General features: G+C 39.1%; 1 pseudogene across 1 annotated transcript; it reads right to left on the bottom strand.

Annotated features, from left to right (window-relative positions):
• Positions 1-12,529: 12,529 nt before the first annotated feature.
• On the bottom strand, positions 12,530-13,199 carry MFFP3 (MFF pseudogene 3; annotated as a pseudogene). The gene has a single exon (NR_102268.2). The product of NR_102268.2 is annotated as an MFF pseudogene 3 (transcript).
• Positions 13,200-13,914: the final 715 nt, after the last annotated feature.

Genomic DNA, 13,914 nt, shown 5'->3' with positions numbered 1-13,914 from the left:
AACAAAGTACCCGCGACTGGGTAATTTATAATGAACAGTAATTTATTTTCTTATAGTCCTAGAAGCTGGGAAGTCCAAGGCCAAGGCCTTGGCACTCAGTGTTGGGTGAGGGCCTTCTTACTGCTTCTTCATATGATGATGAACGGGCAAAAAGAAGATGAATGCTGTGTCTTCACATAGGAGAAGAGAAAGAACACACTCCGTCAAGCCCCTTTTAAAGAGCCTAATCCCATCAGTGAGGCCTCTTCCCTTGTAACCTAATCACCTCTTAAAGCCTGTACCTCTTAATACTATCACACTGATGACTAAGGTTCAACATATGAACTTCGGAGGACACAATCAGACCATAGTGTCTGGCTCCTGGCCCCCCAAATTTATGTTCTTACGTATGAAATATATTCATTCCATCTCAGTAGCCCCAGAGATCTTAACTTGTTCCAGCATCAACTCAAAAGTCTAGAATCTCATGTAAATCAGATATGAGTGAGACTGAAGGTAAGGTTCATTCTGAGACAAATTGCTTTTGTGCTGTGAACCTATAAGGTCAAACAAGTTATATACTTCCAAAATACAATGGTGGAACAACCATAGGATAGACATTTCCATTCCAAAACAAAGCAATAGGAAAGAAAGAAGGAATAACAGGTCCTAAGTAAGTGCTAAAACCAACAAGGTAAACAACATTAAATCTTAAGGCTTGAGAATAATCTAGACACACTGGAGTGGAGGTTAAGCCCCCAAGGCCATAGGGGGCCTCAGCCCCATGGTTTTGTTGGGCATATTCTATACAGCACCTCGCAAGTTGGAGTTGGGTGTCTGCAGCTCTCCCAGGCTAGGATCACACTCCAGTGGCTCTGCAGTACTGGAGTCTCAGAGGCAGTCCCAATCTTATGGCTACCCTGGGCATTGTCCCACTGGGGAGTCTGGTGGCACTATCCCTGTCTCAGTTCTCTGTGTTGGTCCTGAGGCTCTCCAAGTCATCCATTGAAACCTACGTGGAATTAGTCATTCCTCCACAGCTCTTGCGCTCTGTGTGTCTGCAGAGTTATAATGTGGACACTGGGGGCACTAGCCACACCTAGGCATAACCACAGCTGAGGTGGGTGAGGAGTGCTACACTGGAGTAAATGGAGCAGAGATGAGGCATCACTGGGCAGTGAACGCAGAGGTTCTTCGGTTACCCTAAGCCCCTAGTTTTAGTTATGTGCCCCAGGCCTTGGCACTCCGGGCTTGTCATGAGAAAGGCAGCACCAATAGTCTCTGATATGCCTTCAGGGTGTTTTTTGTTTTGTTTTGTTTTGTTTTGAGACAAAGTCTCACTCTGTCACCCAGGCTGGAGTGCAGCGGGACGATCTCAGCTCACTGCAACCTCCACCTCCCAGGTTCAAGTGGTTCTCCCACCTCACCCTCTCCAGCAGCTGGGATTACAGGTGTGCACCACCACCCAGCTAATTTTTGTATTTTTAGTAGCGATGGGGTTTCACCGTGTTCAGGGTCACTTTTCATTGTCTTGATGAACAGTGTATGACTTTCTTCTATCCATACTAATCTCCTTGCAAATGGTCACTTCTTCACACCCCTGGTGTTTTCTTCCAAATGCTTTTGCACTTGGCCAGGCTGAGAATGTTCCAAACCTTTAAATTCTGCTTCCCCTTTGATTTTATTATTTATTATTATTTGAGACAGGTTCTTGCTGTGTTGCCCAGGCTGGAGTGCAGTGGTGAGATTTTAGCCCTCTGCAGCCTTGACCACCCAGGCTTAAGTGATCCTCCCACCTCAGCTTCCCGAGTAGCTGGGAGTACAGGCATGTGCCACCACACCTGGCTAATTTTTTGTATTTTTGGTAGAGACAGGGTTTCACCATGTTGCCCAGGCTGGTCTCAAACTCCTGAGCTCAATAGATCCACCCACCCTTGGCCTCACAAAGTGCTGGAATTACAGGCATGAGCCACCATGCCTGGCCACTCCTCTGAGTTTAAATTCCATCTTCACTATATTTCTCTCCTGCATTTTACTATAAGCAGTTAAGAGAAGCCATGCAGTACCCTGAACACCTTGCTCAAAGATTTCTTCTGCCAAATATCCTAGTTCATCACTCTTAAATTCTGCCTTCCATAAAGTTCTAGGAAGTGGGCAAAATTCTGCCACGTTCTTTGCCATTTTGCAACAAGGATGACTTTTCCTCTGGTTTCCAATAAGACACTCCTCATTTCTATATAATACTTCCTCACGATGGCCTTTACTATGCATATATCTGTCAGCATTCTGATCATGATAACTTAGGTACTCTCAAAAAAAGCATCTCTCTACAGCTTTCCTCTTCTGAGCCCTCACCAGAATCATCCTTAATGCTCTGTTCATGGCAATGTATGCTTTTTCTAGCCTGCACCTTCAAAATCTTCCAGCTTCTATCCACTATCCAGTTCCAAAGCTGTGTCCACATTTTTAGATATTTGTTATAGCAACACCCCAATTTTCTAGTACTAGTTTCTGTTTTAGTCCATTTGTCCTGCTATATAAAAGTGCCTGAGACTGGGTCATTCATAAAGAACAGAAATTTATTTTTCTCACAGTTCTTGAGGTTGGGAAGTCCAAGATCAAGGCACCAACATTTGGTATCTGGTGAGGACCTTCTTGCTGTGTCCTAACATGATGGAAGGTGGAAGGGCAAAAGAGATGAACTATCCTTACATGGCAGAAGAGCAGAAGAGAAGACCCCACTCCCTCAAGTGCTTTTATAAGAGCCATAATGCCATCCATGAGGACTCTGCCATTATGACTTAATCACTGCCTAAAACCCCACCTCTTAATGTTATTACATTGGAGATTAAGTTTCAGTATACAAATTTGGGGGGATGCAATCAGATCACAGCAGTTACCAATGGCCAATGATGTAATCAATTGTGTATGTAATAAAACTTCCATATAACCCCCAGAATTACAGAGTTCTGATGGCTTCTGGGTTGGTGAACACATGGAGATATTAAGGGGATGGCATTCCAGGAGGCTGCATGGAAGCCCCTCATCCTTTCCCACATACTTTGCCTTATATATCTTTTCCATTTGGCTGTTCCTGACTTGTACCCGTTATAATAAACCATTAATATTAAGTAAACGTTTATTCTGAGTTCTGTGCGCTGTTCTTGCAAATTATCTAACACAAGGAGGGAGCAGTGGGAACTCCTGATTAATAGCCAGTCAGAAATACAAGTGGTTCAGAACTTGGAATTGACATTTGAAGTGGGGGCAGTCTTGTGAGTCCTTAACTTGCACCATCTGACACTAATTCCAGTTAGATGGTGCCAGAATTAAATTGTAGGGCACTCAGCTAGTGTCAGAGAATTGGTTGGTGTCGGGGAAGAAACCTGCACATTTGATGTCAAAGTGTTAAGCATGAAAACAAGATGGAAAGGTGCAAACAACCAGGGGCTTGTTTTCTCACTTTTTCTCAACTTTTTTTCTCTCATTCTGTAAGACCCTGAAGCAATGGACACTGGTTTGTTGGCTCTTACTAGAAGAGGCACAACAACCTGACTATATTCTTTTTTAAAAAACTTTTCATTTTGAAATAATTTCAAACTTCAACATAGTTGCAAAAATAATATGAAGGCAGCGCTGGTGGGAGTTTAAAATGGTACAGCTGCTTTGGAAAAGTTTGGCAGTTCCTCAAATACTTAAATAACATTACCATATGATTAAGAAATTTCACTCGTATGGGTATACCCAAAAGAATTGAAAACAGGTACTCAAAAACATGTGCATGCATGTTCATAGTAGCACTATTCTTATTCACAGTAACTGTAAGGCGGAAATGTCCATCAACAGATGAATGATAAAATGTGTTATATCCACACAATGCAATATTACACAGCCTTAAAAGGAATGAAGTACTGATTCATGCTACAACATGGGTGAACCTCAAAAATATTATGCTAAGTGAATGAAGCCAGATACAAAAAGCCACATACTATGTATTTCCATTTATATGAAATATCCAGAATAGGCAATTCTATAGAGACAGTAGATAAGTAGTTGCCGGGGCTTGGAGGTAGGAAGGAGTGGGGAATGAGTGCTAATGGATACAACATTTCTCTTTGGGGTGATGAAAATATTATGAAATTAATGTTCTGGAGATGGTTGCAAAGCTTCGTGAATATACTAAAAATCACTGAATTGTACACTTTAAATGGGTGAATTTCAAAATATGTGAATTATATCTAATAATAAAAAAATTGAGAGTATCCACACACCTTCAATTCCCCAGATGACAATATCTTATGTACCTACAATTATCAAAATCAAAAAATTAACATCAATATAATACTATAACCTACACACTGTGTTCAGATTTCACCACTTGTCTCTCTGTTGTTCTGTTTCTAGTTTAGGATCCAATCTAAGATCCCACGTTTAGTTTTTATATCTCTAGTCTCCTTTAACCTGAAACAGTTTCTCAGCTTTCCTTTGTCTTTCATGACTTTGGCACTTTGGAAGAGTACAGGCCAGTTATTTTGTAGAGTGTTCCTCAGTTTGGGTTTCTGGTAATTCCTTCTGCTTAAAGTCAGGTTATACATGTTTGGCAAGAATAACACGTAAGTACAGTTGTGTCCTTAAGTGCATCATATTAGGATACACATTACATCGATTTGTCCTGCTACTGGTGATGTTAAATTCAGTGATCAGTTTCTTTGGTGTGTGATTGTGACTATTCATAGTTTTCTTTCTTGTTTATAAAAAAATTTCATTTTATCACCATTCTATACTCCCATTTTCCCTTACTCCCCACACATAGTCAAATATATTTAATGTGTATCATGTAGTTTCTATGTGTTCTTGAAAAATGTACCTTGTTTTGGTGTCCAAGTATTTTTAGTTTACATGAGTGACATTGTGTTGTATCTCATTCCATTTCTTACTTTTAAAATTCAGCACTGTTTTTAAGGTCCATTCTTGTTTCTAATCTGTTATTTTTAATTCTGCATGATACTCCTTGGAGTGCAACTACCACATTTCACCTATGCCATTTCCAGTGATAGACCCCACATGGGAACCAATTCCTGGCCACCACAAATAACATTGTACTGAACATTCTAATAATGCATGTCTCCTTATGGGTCTCTGTAGGAAATTATTTGGAATGTATAATGAGGAATGGAGTTGTTGGGTCATAGGACACACACACACACACACACACACACACACACACACACACACAGAATGGCCTGATCAGTCCATGTTCCCAGTGTTAGTGAATGAGGTTTCCTTGGTACATCCCTGCCCATAACCGATATGATGAAGCTATTTCTGCCAGTCTAAAAGATGTGATATCTTATTGTTTTAATTTGCATTTCTCTGGTTGCTAATGATTATGAACATCTTTTTGTATGCATTTGAGCTTTGGAGGTTTTCTGTAACTTTCCTGTTGATATATTTTTTCCATTTTAACTTTTAAAACTGTGAAGTAGCATATGGGGAAATGCATGTAAAATAAATAAACAACTCACTAAATAGAGTTGTGTAATTGCCACCCAAATCAACAAATGGAATATTCCAAGTATCTCAGAAACTCAACTCCTATGTATCCTCCCAGTCGGTATCTTTCACTGCTCCCCAAAGGTAACTATCACTCTGAATTCTAAAATTATAGCTTAGTATTGCTTGTTAATGAAGTTTTCAACTCTCTTGTTCATTTTTATGTTCAGGCAGATTATTTGTTGACTTGTAAGAATTCTTCATATATTCTGGATGTAAGCCTTTTGTTATTTTATTGCAAATATCTTTTACTCTATGATTTCCCTTTCGTTTTCTCAATGGTTTCAATGACCAAAAATTCTTAATTTTAATGTAATCTAATCAATCAATATTTTCTTTAGTAAGTGTTATTTTTTGTATGTCCTGTTAAAATCTTTTCCTATTCCAAAAGTTTTATTGTTTTGCCTTTCACATTTCACATTTAAATACACAATTCTCCTGGAACTGAATTTTATAAATTGGGTGTGTTAGATGTCAAATTTTGTTTTTTAGTATAGGGATTTACAAGTTATTCAACTTCATTTGTTGAAAACGTTCCCCACGGCTCTGTGCAACTTTCACAAATAAATCAAATGCCTATAGATGTCTGTGTCTACTTCTGGGATATGTATTCTATTGGTCCATTTGAATATTCTTGTACCAATAATACTTTGTCTTTATTACCATAGCTGTATAGGTTAAAAAAATGTTTTTAGAGACAGGGTCTCACTCTGTCACCTAGGCTGGAGTACATTCTTGACCTCCTGGGCTCAAGTAATCCTCCTGCCTCAGCCTCCCAAGTAGCTGGGACTACAGGTGCACACCATCATGCCTAGCTAAGTTTTTCTTTTTTTTGTAGAGATAAGGTCTTGCTATGTTGCTCAGGCTGGTCTCAAACTCTCCTGAAGTAATACTCCTGCCTCGGCTTCCCAAAGTGCTGGGATTACAGGTGTGAGCCACCACGCCTGGCCGCTATATAAGTTTTGATATCCACTAGAGCTGTTCTTTGATATTGCTTTGAATATTTTAGCTCTTTGCATTTGTGTTATAAATTTTAGAATCCATTGTAAATTTTGCCAAAAATGTTAGGATCTTAATTGGAAACGTAGTTAATCAATTTGGAGAGAATTGATATTTATGCTTTATAGAGTGTTCTGATATGTGAATACTGGGATCTCTCTACTGGTTTAGGTCTTTAATTTCTCAAATGTTTTAAAGTTTTCTGTGTGGAGCTTTTGCACATCATACATTAGATTCATTCCTAAGTATCTGATCTTTTGTGATGCTACCATACATGGTATCTCAAAATTTCGCTTTGTAATGAATTGTCCTGGTATATAAAAATGCAGTTCGTTTTTTTGACTTCGTATCCAGCAACTTTGCTAAACTTATTTGTTAATTCTAAGGTTAATTGTAGATTTTTGACTATGTACACAAATATATCTATGAATAGGTTTTCTTTCTTCCTTTCTAATCTTTATATTTCTTATTTATCTTTGTTTACTAATTGTACTGGCTAGGGCATATAGTGCAGTGTTGAATAGAGGAGTGCATAGAGAGCATCTTTGTCTTATTCTCAGTCTCAAAGGGAACACTTAGCATTTCACCAGTAAGTATGACGTTTGCCCTAGGTTCTTTGTAAAAATAGGCCTTTTAAGGCAGTTTACCTCTCTTTTGAGAGTGTTAAATTTTTTTCATGAGTAGATAGTGAATTTTATCAAATGCCTTTTCTGCATTTACTGAGATGATCATCTGGTTTTTGTCTCCTTTGTTTAGTTAATGTGGTGAATTGCACTGATTTTTTAAAAACAACTTTATTGAGGTATAATTTACATATATTAAAATGCACCAATTTTAAGTATAAATTCAAAAAGTTTTGATAAATATATACCCATTAGCAATCATCACAACCAAGATATAAAACATTTTATTATCCTAAAAATCCCCCTCATGTCTCTTTTAGGTCAATTCCCACACCCCTCCCACCCCCACAAGGCACACACTCACCCCCACAAGGCACACACTCACCCCCACAAGGCACACACTCCCACCCCCACAAGGCACACACTCACCCCCACAAGGCACACACTCACCCCCACAAGGCACACACTCCCACCCCCACAAGGCACACACTCCCACACTGGCTTTCTGAACAGTAGGGTGAGGGCTATCATGGTGGGAAAGGCCAAATGGAAGTCATTAGAGCTGCCTCTATCTAGAAAAATAGTAAACTCGTTTTCTAGAGTTTTATGTAAATGGAATTATATATATAGCCTTATGAGTCAAGCTTCTTTCTTTTTCTTTTTTCTTTTTTTTTTTTTGAGATGGAGTTTTGCTCTTGTTGCCCAGGCTGGAGTACAATGGCACGATCTCGGCTTACTGCAACCTCCGCCTCCCGAGTTCAAGCGATTCTCCTGCCTCAGCCTCCTGAGTAGCTGGGATTACAGGCATGTGCAACCACGCCTGGCTAATTTTGTATTTTTAGTAGAGACAAGGTTTCTCCATGTTGGTGAGGCTGGTCTTGAACTCCTGACCTCAGGTGATCTGCCTTCCTTGGCCTCTCAAAGTGCTGGGATTATAGGCGTGAGCCACCATGCCTGGCCGAGTCAGGTTTCTTTCACTTGGCATGTTTCTCAGATTCATCTGTGTTTCATGAATCAGTAGTTCTTTTTTACTGCTTGGTAGTATGCTATTAAATGGATATATCACAGTTTGTTTATCTATTCATCTTTTAATGGACATTTGGGTTGTTTTTAGTTTTGACTATTGAGAATAAAGCTTTTTATGTACATTAAACCTTTGTATAGTCATATATTTACCTTTGTCTTGGGAAAATACTTATGAGTCACAGGTAGGTATATTTTTTATTTTATAAGAAACTGCCAAACTGTTTTCCAAAGTGATTGTACCACTTTATGTTCTCACCTACAATTTATGAGTGTGCCATTTGTTCAAACATTCTTGCTGACCCTTGATATTGGCAGTCCTTAATTTTAGCTGCACTAGTGGCTATGAGTAGTATCTCATTGTGGTTTCAAATTGCACTTCCCCAATGACTAAAGATGTTGACTTTCTTTCATGTGTTTATCTGCCATTCATATGCCTTTTTTGGTTAAATATCTCTTCATATCTTTTCCCGTTTTTAGATGGAATGTTTGTCTTCTCATTATTCAGTTTTAAGAGTTTTTATATATTCTGCATAGAGACCCTTTATTAGACATGTGTTTTGCTAATATTTTCTCCCAGCCTGTTGCATGCCTGTTCTTTTTCTTTTTCTTTTTTTTTTTTTTTTTTTGAGACGGAGTCTCGCACTGTCGCCCAGGCTGCAGTGCAGTGGCCCGATCTCAGCTCACTGCAAGCTCCGCCTCCTGGGTTCATGCCATTCTCCTGCCTCAGCTTCCTGAGTAGCTGGGACTACAGGTGCCCACCACCACGCCCGGCTAATTTTTTGTATTTTTAGTAGAGACAGGGTTTCACTGTGTTAGCCAGGATGGTCTGGAACTCCTAACCTCGTGATCTGCCCGCCTTGGCCTCCCAGAGTGCTGGGATTACAGGCGTAAGCCACCACGCCTGGCGCCTATTCTTTTTCTTAACAGTATTTGTATTAGTCTGTTTTTACACTGCGATAAAGATACTACCTGAGACTGGGTAATTTATGAACAAAAGCGGTGCAGCTGCAGAATTCCCACACTGGCTCTCTGAATAGTAGGGTGAGGGCTATTACGGTGGGAAAGGCCAAATGGAAGTCATTAGAGCTGCCTCTACCTAGAAAAATAGTAAATCAAAAACAATATCACATCCCTGGAGGGATTGCGGAGATTAGTGCCACCATCAAGGACTTGAATGACACAGGGGTGGTGATTTCCACCACACTCCCGTTCAACTCTCCTATTTGGCCTGTGCAGAAGACAGATGGATCTTCGAGAAAGACAGTGGATTTTCTAAGCTTAACCAAGTGGTGACTCCAATTGCAGCTGCTGTACCAGATGTGGTTTCATTGCTTGAGCAAATTAACACATTTCCTGGTACCTGGTATGTAGCCATTGCCTTGGAAAATGCCCTTTTCTCCATTCCTGTCCATAAGGCCCACAAGAAGCAATTTGCCTTTGGGTGGCAAGGCCAGCAATATGCCTTTACTGTCCTACCTCAGGGTTATATCAACTCTCCAGCTTTGTGTCGTAATCTTATTCGGAGAGACCTTGATCGCCGTGCTTCCTCAAGATATCACACTGGTGGCGGGGGCGGGGCACGGGTGGTGGTGGCGGGGAGGCCCTGGGCCTGGCCCACAAAGCCATTTTTCTCTTCTAGGCCTCTGGGCCTGTGATGAGAGGGGCTGCTAGTCTGATATGCCCTGGAGACAATTTCCCCATTGTCTTGGCTATTAACATTCGGCTCTTTCACCTGTGCAAATTTCTGCAGCCTGCTTGAATTCCTCCCCAGAAAATGCGTTTTCTTTTCTACACATGGTCAGGCTGCAAATTTTCCAAACCTTTATTCTTTGCTTCCCTTTTAAATGTAAGTTCCAATTTCAAACCCTCTCTTTATGAATGCACATGACTGAATGTTTTCAGAATCAGCCAGTTCAACTATTGAATGCTTTGCTTCTTGGAAATTTCTTCCACCAGATACCCTAAATCATCTCTCTCAAGTTCAAAGTTCCACAGATCTCTAGAGCAGGGGCAAAATGCTGCCAGTCTCATTGCTAAAGCATAGCAAGAGTGACCTTTGCTTCAGTTCCCAATAAGTTTCTCATCTCTATCCGAGACTACCTCAGTCTGGACTTCATTGTCCCTGTCACTATAAGTATTTTGGTCAAAACCATTCAACAAGTCTCTAGGAAGTTCCAAACTTCCCCGCATCTTCCTGTCTTCTTCCGAGCCCTCCAAACTGTTCCAACCTCTGCCTGTTACCAAGCTCCAAAGTTGCTTCCATATTTTCAGGTTATCTTTATAGCAGTACCCGACTCTGCCAGTACCAATTCTCCGTATTAGTCCATTTTCACACTGCTATAAAGATATTACTCAAGACTGGGTAATTTACAAACAAAAGAGGTTTGAGTCACAGTTCCACATGGCTTTGGAGGACGCAGGAAACTTACTATCATGGCAGAAGGCAAAGGGGAAGCAAGGCACATTTTACATGGCAGCAGGAGAGCAAGAGCACAGGGGAAACTGCCAAACACTTTTGAAGCATCAGATTTTATGAGAACTCACTCACTATCACAAGAACAGCCTGGGGGAAACCGCCCCCATGATCCAATCACCTCCCACTAGTTCCCCCCCTTGACACATGGGGATTATAATTGGAGATGAGATTTGGAGCCAAACATATTAATGTTGTTCAAAGAAGAGAAGTTTTTGACATCTAATTTATCTACTTTTTTAAAAATTCTTTAGATTTTTAAAAAATTTATTTTTAATTGACTAATAATTGTATATATGTGATTCAATGTGGTGTTTTGGTATATGTTTACAATATAGAATGATTAAATTCAGCTAATTAACAAACCTATCACCTCAAATACTTACCTTTCTGTGGTGAAAACATTTAAAATCTACTATTGTGGCTATTTTTAAATATGCAATATATTATTATTTATTATAGTCACCATTCTGTACAATAGATTACTAAAGCTTATTCCTCCTGTCTAACTGAAAGTTTGATAAGCTTCTTCCATTTTCTCATCCACTCCCATTCTGAGCCTCTTGTAACCATCATTTTGCTCTCTACTTCTGTGAGTTCACCTCTTTTAGATTCACTTATAAGTGAGATCATGTGGTATTTGTCTTTCTGTGCCTTGCTTATTTCATTTAACATAATGTCCTCCAGGTTTGGCTATATTGTTGAAAATGACACAATTTCCCTCTTTTAAAGGCTGAATTGTATTCCATTTTGTATCTATACTACATTTTTAAATTGTTTTACTTTTAAGAGTACCATGCTTTTTATATCTTATTAAGGAAATCTTTTGTTTCCTTATAGATTATTCATAATTTTAGCTTTTATTTGAGGTTTATGATGCACTTCTAATTAATTTTTGTGTATAGTACACAATAAGGGTTGAAATTCTTTTTATTTCCATGTAGATTTCTAATTTGTTTTAGCACCATTTCCTGAAAAGACTATCCTATTCCTACTTAATTACATTGCTCTCTTTTGAGAAAATAAATTAACCATATATGCATGGGTCTATTTCTATTCTATTGATAGGTATGTCTGTCCTCATGCCAATACCACACAATTTTGATTACTAAAGACTAAAGCTTTATAATAAGACTTGAAGTCAGTAGTTTAAGTCCATCAACTTTATTCCTCTTTTTCAAACCTTATTTGGTTTTATTTTTTGATTGACAGTTTATTAAATATACTACATTTGTACTTAATGCTGTAGTTTTAAAAATTATTCACACATGGGCTTAGTAAATATGCACTTTATAGAAAACCAACTGCAAGACCGAAATGAAAATAAGAACACACATATTGCACACATATTAGATAAACTGCTGAAATGTTATGAATTAATTTAACCTGTACATGTGCTTAATGAAGGTGATCATGAAATATTAGGTGGTTTGATTTACTTAAATCTGACACCAGACCGTGACTTCAAAAGTGTTAATGTTGAAATGTAGGTGCAAAACCATCTATTAACAAAATCATTTAATCTATTAGTCTTTGAAAAACAGAATAAAACATTGTTTTTCTTTTAAAGATACTTTTCTAAATCCATTCTCTATGCACTCTTTCTCCCATTCAAAGAGTTAGTTGTGCAGACTGATGAGGCAAAAAATCAATTCCTTTTAAAAAAATCCCAACAAACTAGAGCCTACTTACAAAACATGCAAAGGGAGAATTTTAAGTAGGTATTACTGCAGAACTGGTTAAAAGTGAATACAGCTGAGTGACAGAATATACCTTTCCTCTGACAATATAGGTCCTTCCCCACTTCTCTCTGGAAGAAACACATCATCAGGGCATGGACTACATAACGGCATAAAATGCAAAGACAGAAACAAAGAAGTTTGCAAGTTCTCTATATTTCTAGCTGTTGAGGCAGTATGTTTAAGAGCTGAAGTTACCTCTAGCGGCGAAACCAGAGCCAGTTACTAAGCAGCCACAATCCTATGGTAATTGAATACATGACCATTTCTCTCTTGGCACGTTCCTTGTTCTCCTCTTCTAGATGTTGCAAGCGTCTATTTAGTTTGATTATCTGTCGTCTTAACGAAGCTGCATCTGCAACAGTCATGTCATCCGAAGTTCCTTCACTTGTATCTATGTTTGAAGTGCCATACCTGATGTTGTCACGATGCGGATTAGAAGTGGTAGCAGCAGACCTGCCATACTGCACAGGTCTGCGATTTTCACCCATCTCATCCACGATATGCTGGTAAGCCCTACGAGTAGAAGACTGGATAAATGACAGAATGCCATGAACAGAGGAAAGATTAGTTCTATTTTCGGGTAACATGTTGGGAAGACAGCTTCTTATGGTGATGGTGTCACGATGAAATCACTCCTGATCAACGTCTATTTTGGCCAACAACATTTTCACTCAAAGAGCAGTCTCTTTTTAGCTTGCCAAATGCACAGATTTCTTCATTTTGAAGGGTTGAAGGAGGTCTTTCTAAATCCTGAAAATCTGGTGGTCTTCCACTTAAAGTATATGAAGCGGTGGTTTTAGTGCCAGAGGTTTAAAGGGAGTTGACTGAATAAAGTCAAAATCCACTGGTCTTCAAAACAGAATGTCTCCGTTGTTCTCTGCTGTAACAATCCTCTCTAGAACCTGCATCATCACATTAGCATTTAGAACTCCTTTTTGGAATTCTTGTTCCAGGTCACCATTTGATGGTGCTGACTTAATTTTTCTGGGACCCTCATTTGCTGACTAATATCTTTATTGTATTCCATTTCATACTGAAATTGACTAATTTCTTCCATCTAGAGAAGGAAGTGCTTCCCTACTCACCAAATATGTACCAGCTACTACTTGCTATTTGGCACTATCTGCTCCCGTGCTTCATATTAAATGCTTTAATTTCATTCAAAGTGCATGTGCCGGGTTTAGAGCCACTTTTGTTCCTCTGGGTCTGTAGAGAGTTCCCAGTGAGGGCTGCCAGGGTGGGTGCTCTCAGAGACCATTAGCAAAATGCAGGAAAGAGCTAGGACAAAGCACCTGTCAGGTTGGCCGGTGGCAGACTAGGAGAGCCTCATTTGGTTATTTTAGATACTTTATATTTTCATATAAATTTTACAATAAGGTTTCCAACTTCTATGAAACAACTTGGTGGAATTTAGATTGTGATTACATAAAATGTGTCATCTCTCTATCTATCATCTATCTATCTATCTATCTATCTATCTATCTATCTATCTATCTATCTATGTATCTATCTATCTATC

Source organism: Homo sapiens, chromosome X (assembly GCF_000001405.40).
Source record: "Homo sapiens chromosome X, GRCh38.p14 Primary Assembly".
NCBI classification, from domain to species: Eukaryota; Metazoa; Chordata; class Mammalia; order Primates; family Hominidae; genus Homo; species Homo sapiens.
This window is presented reverse-complemented; position numbering and strand designations above follow the sequence as displayed.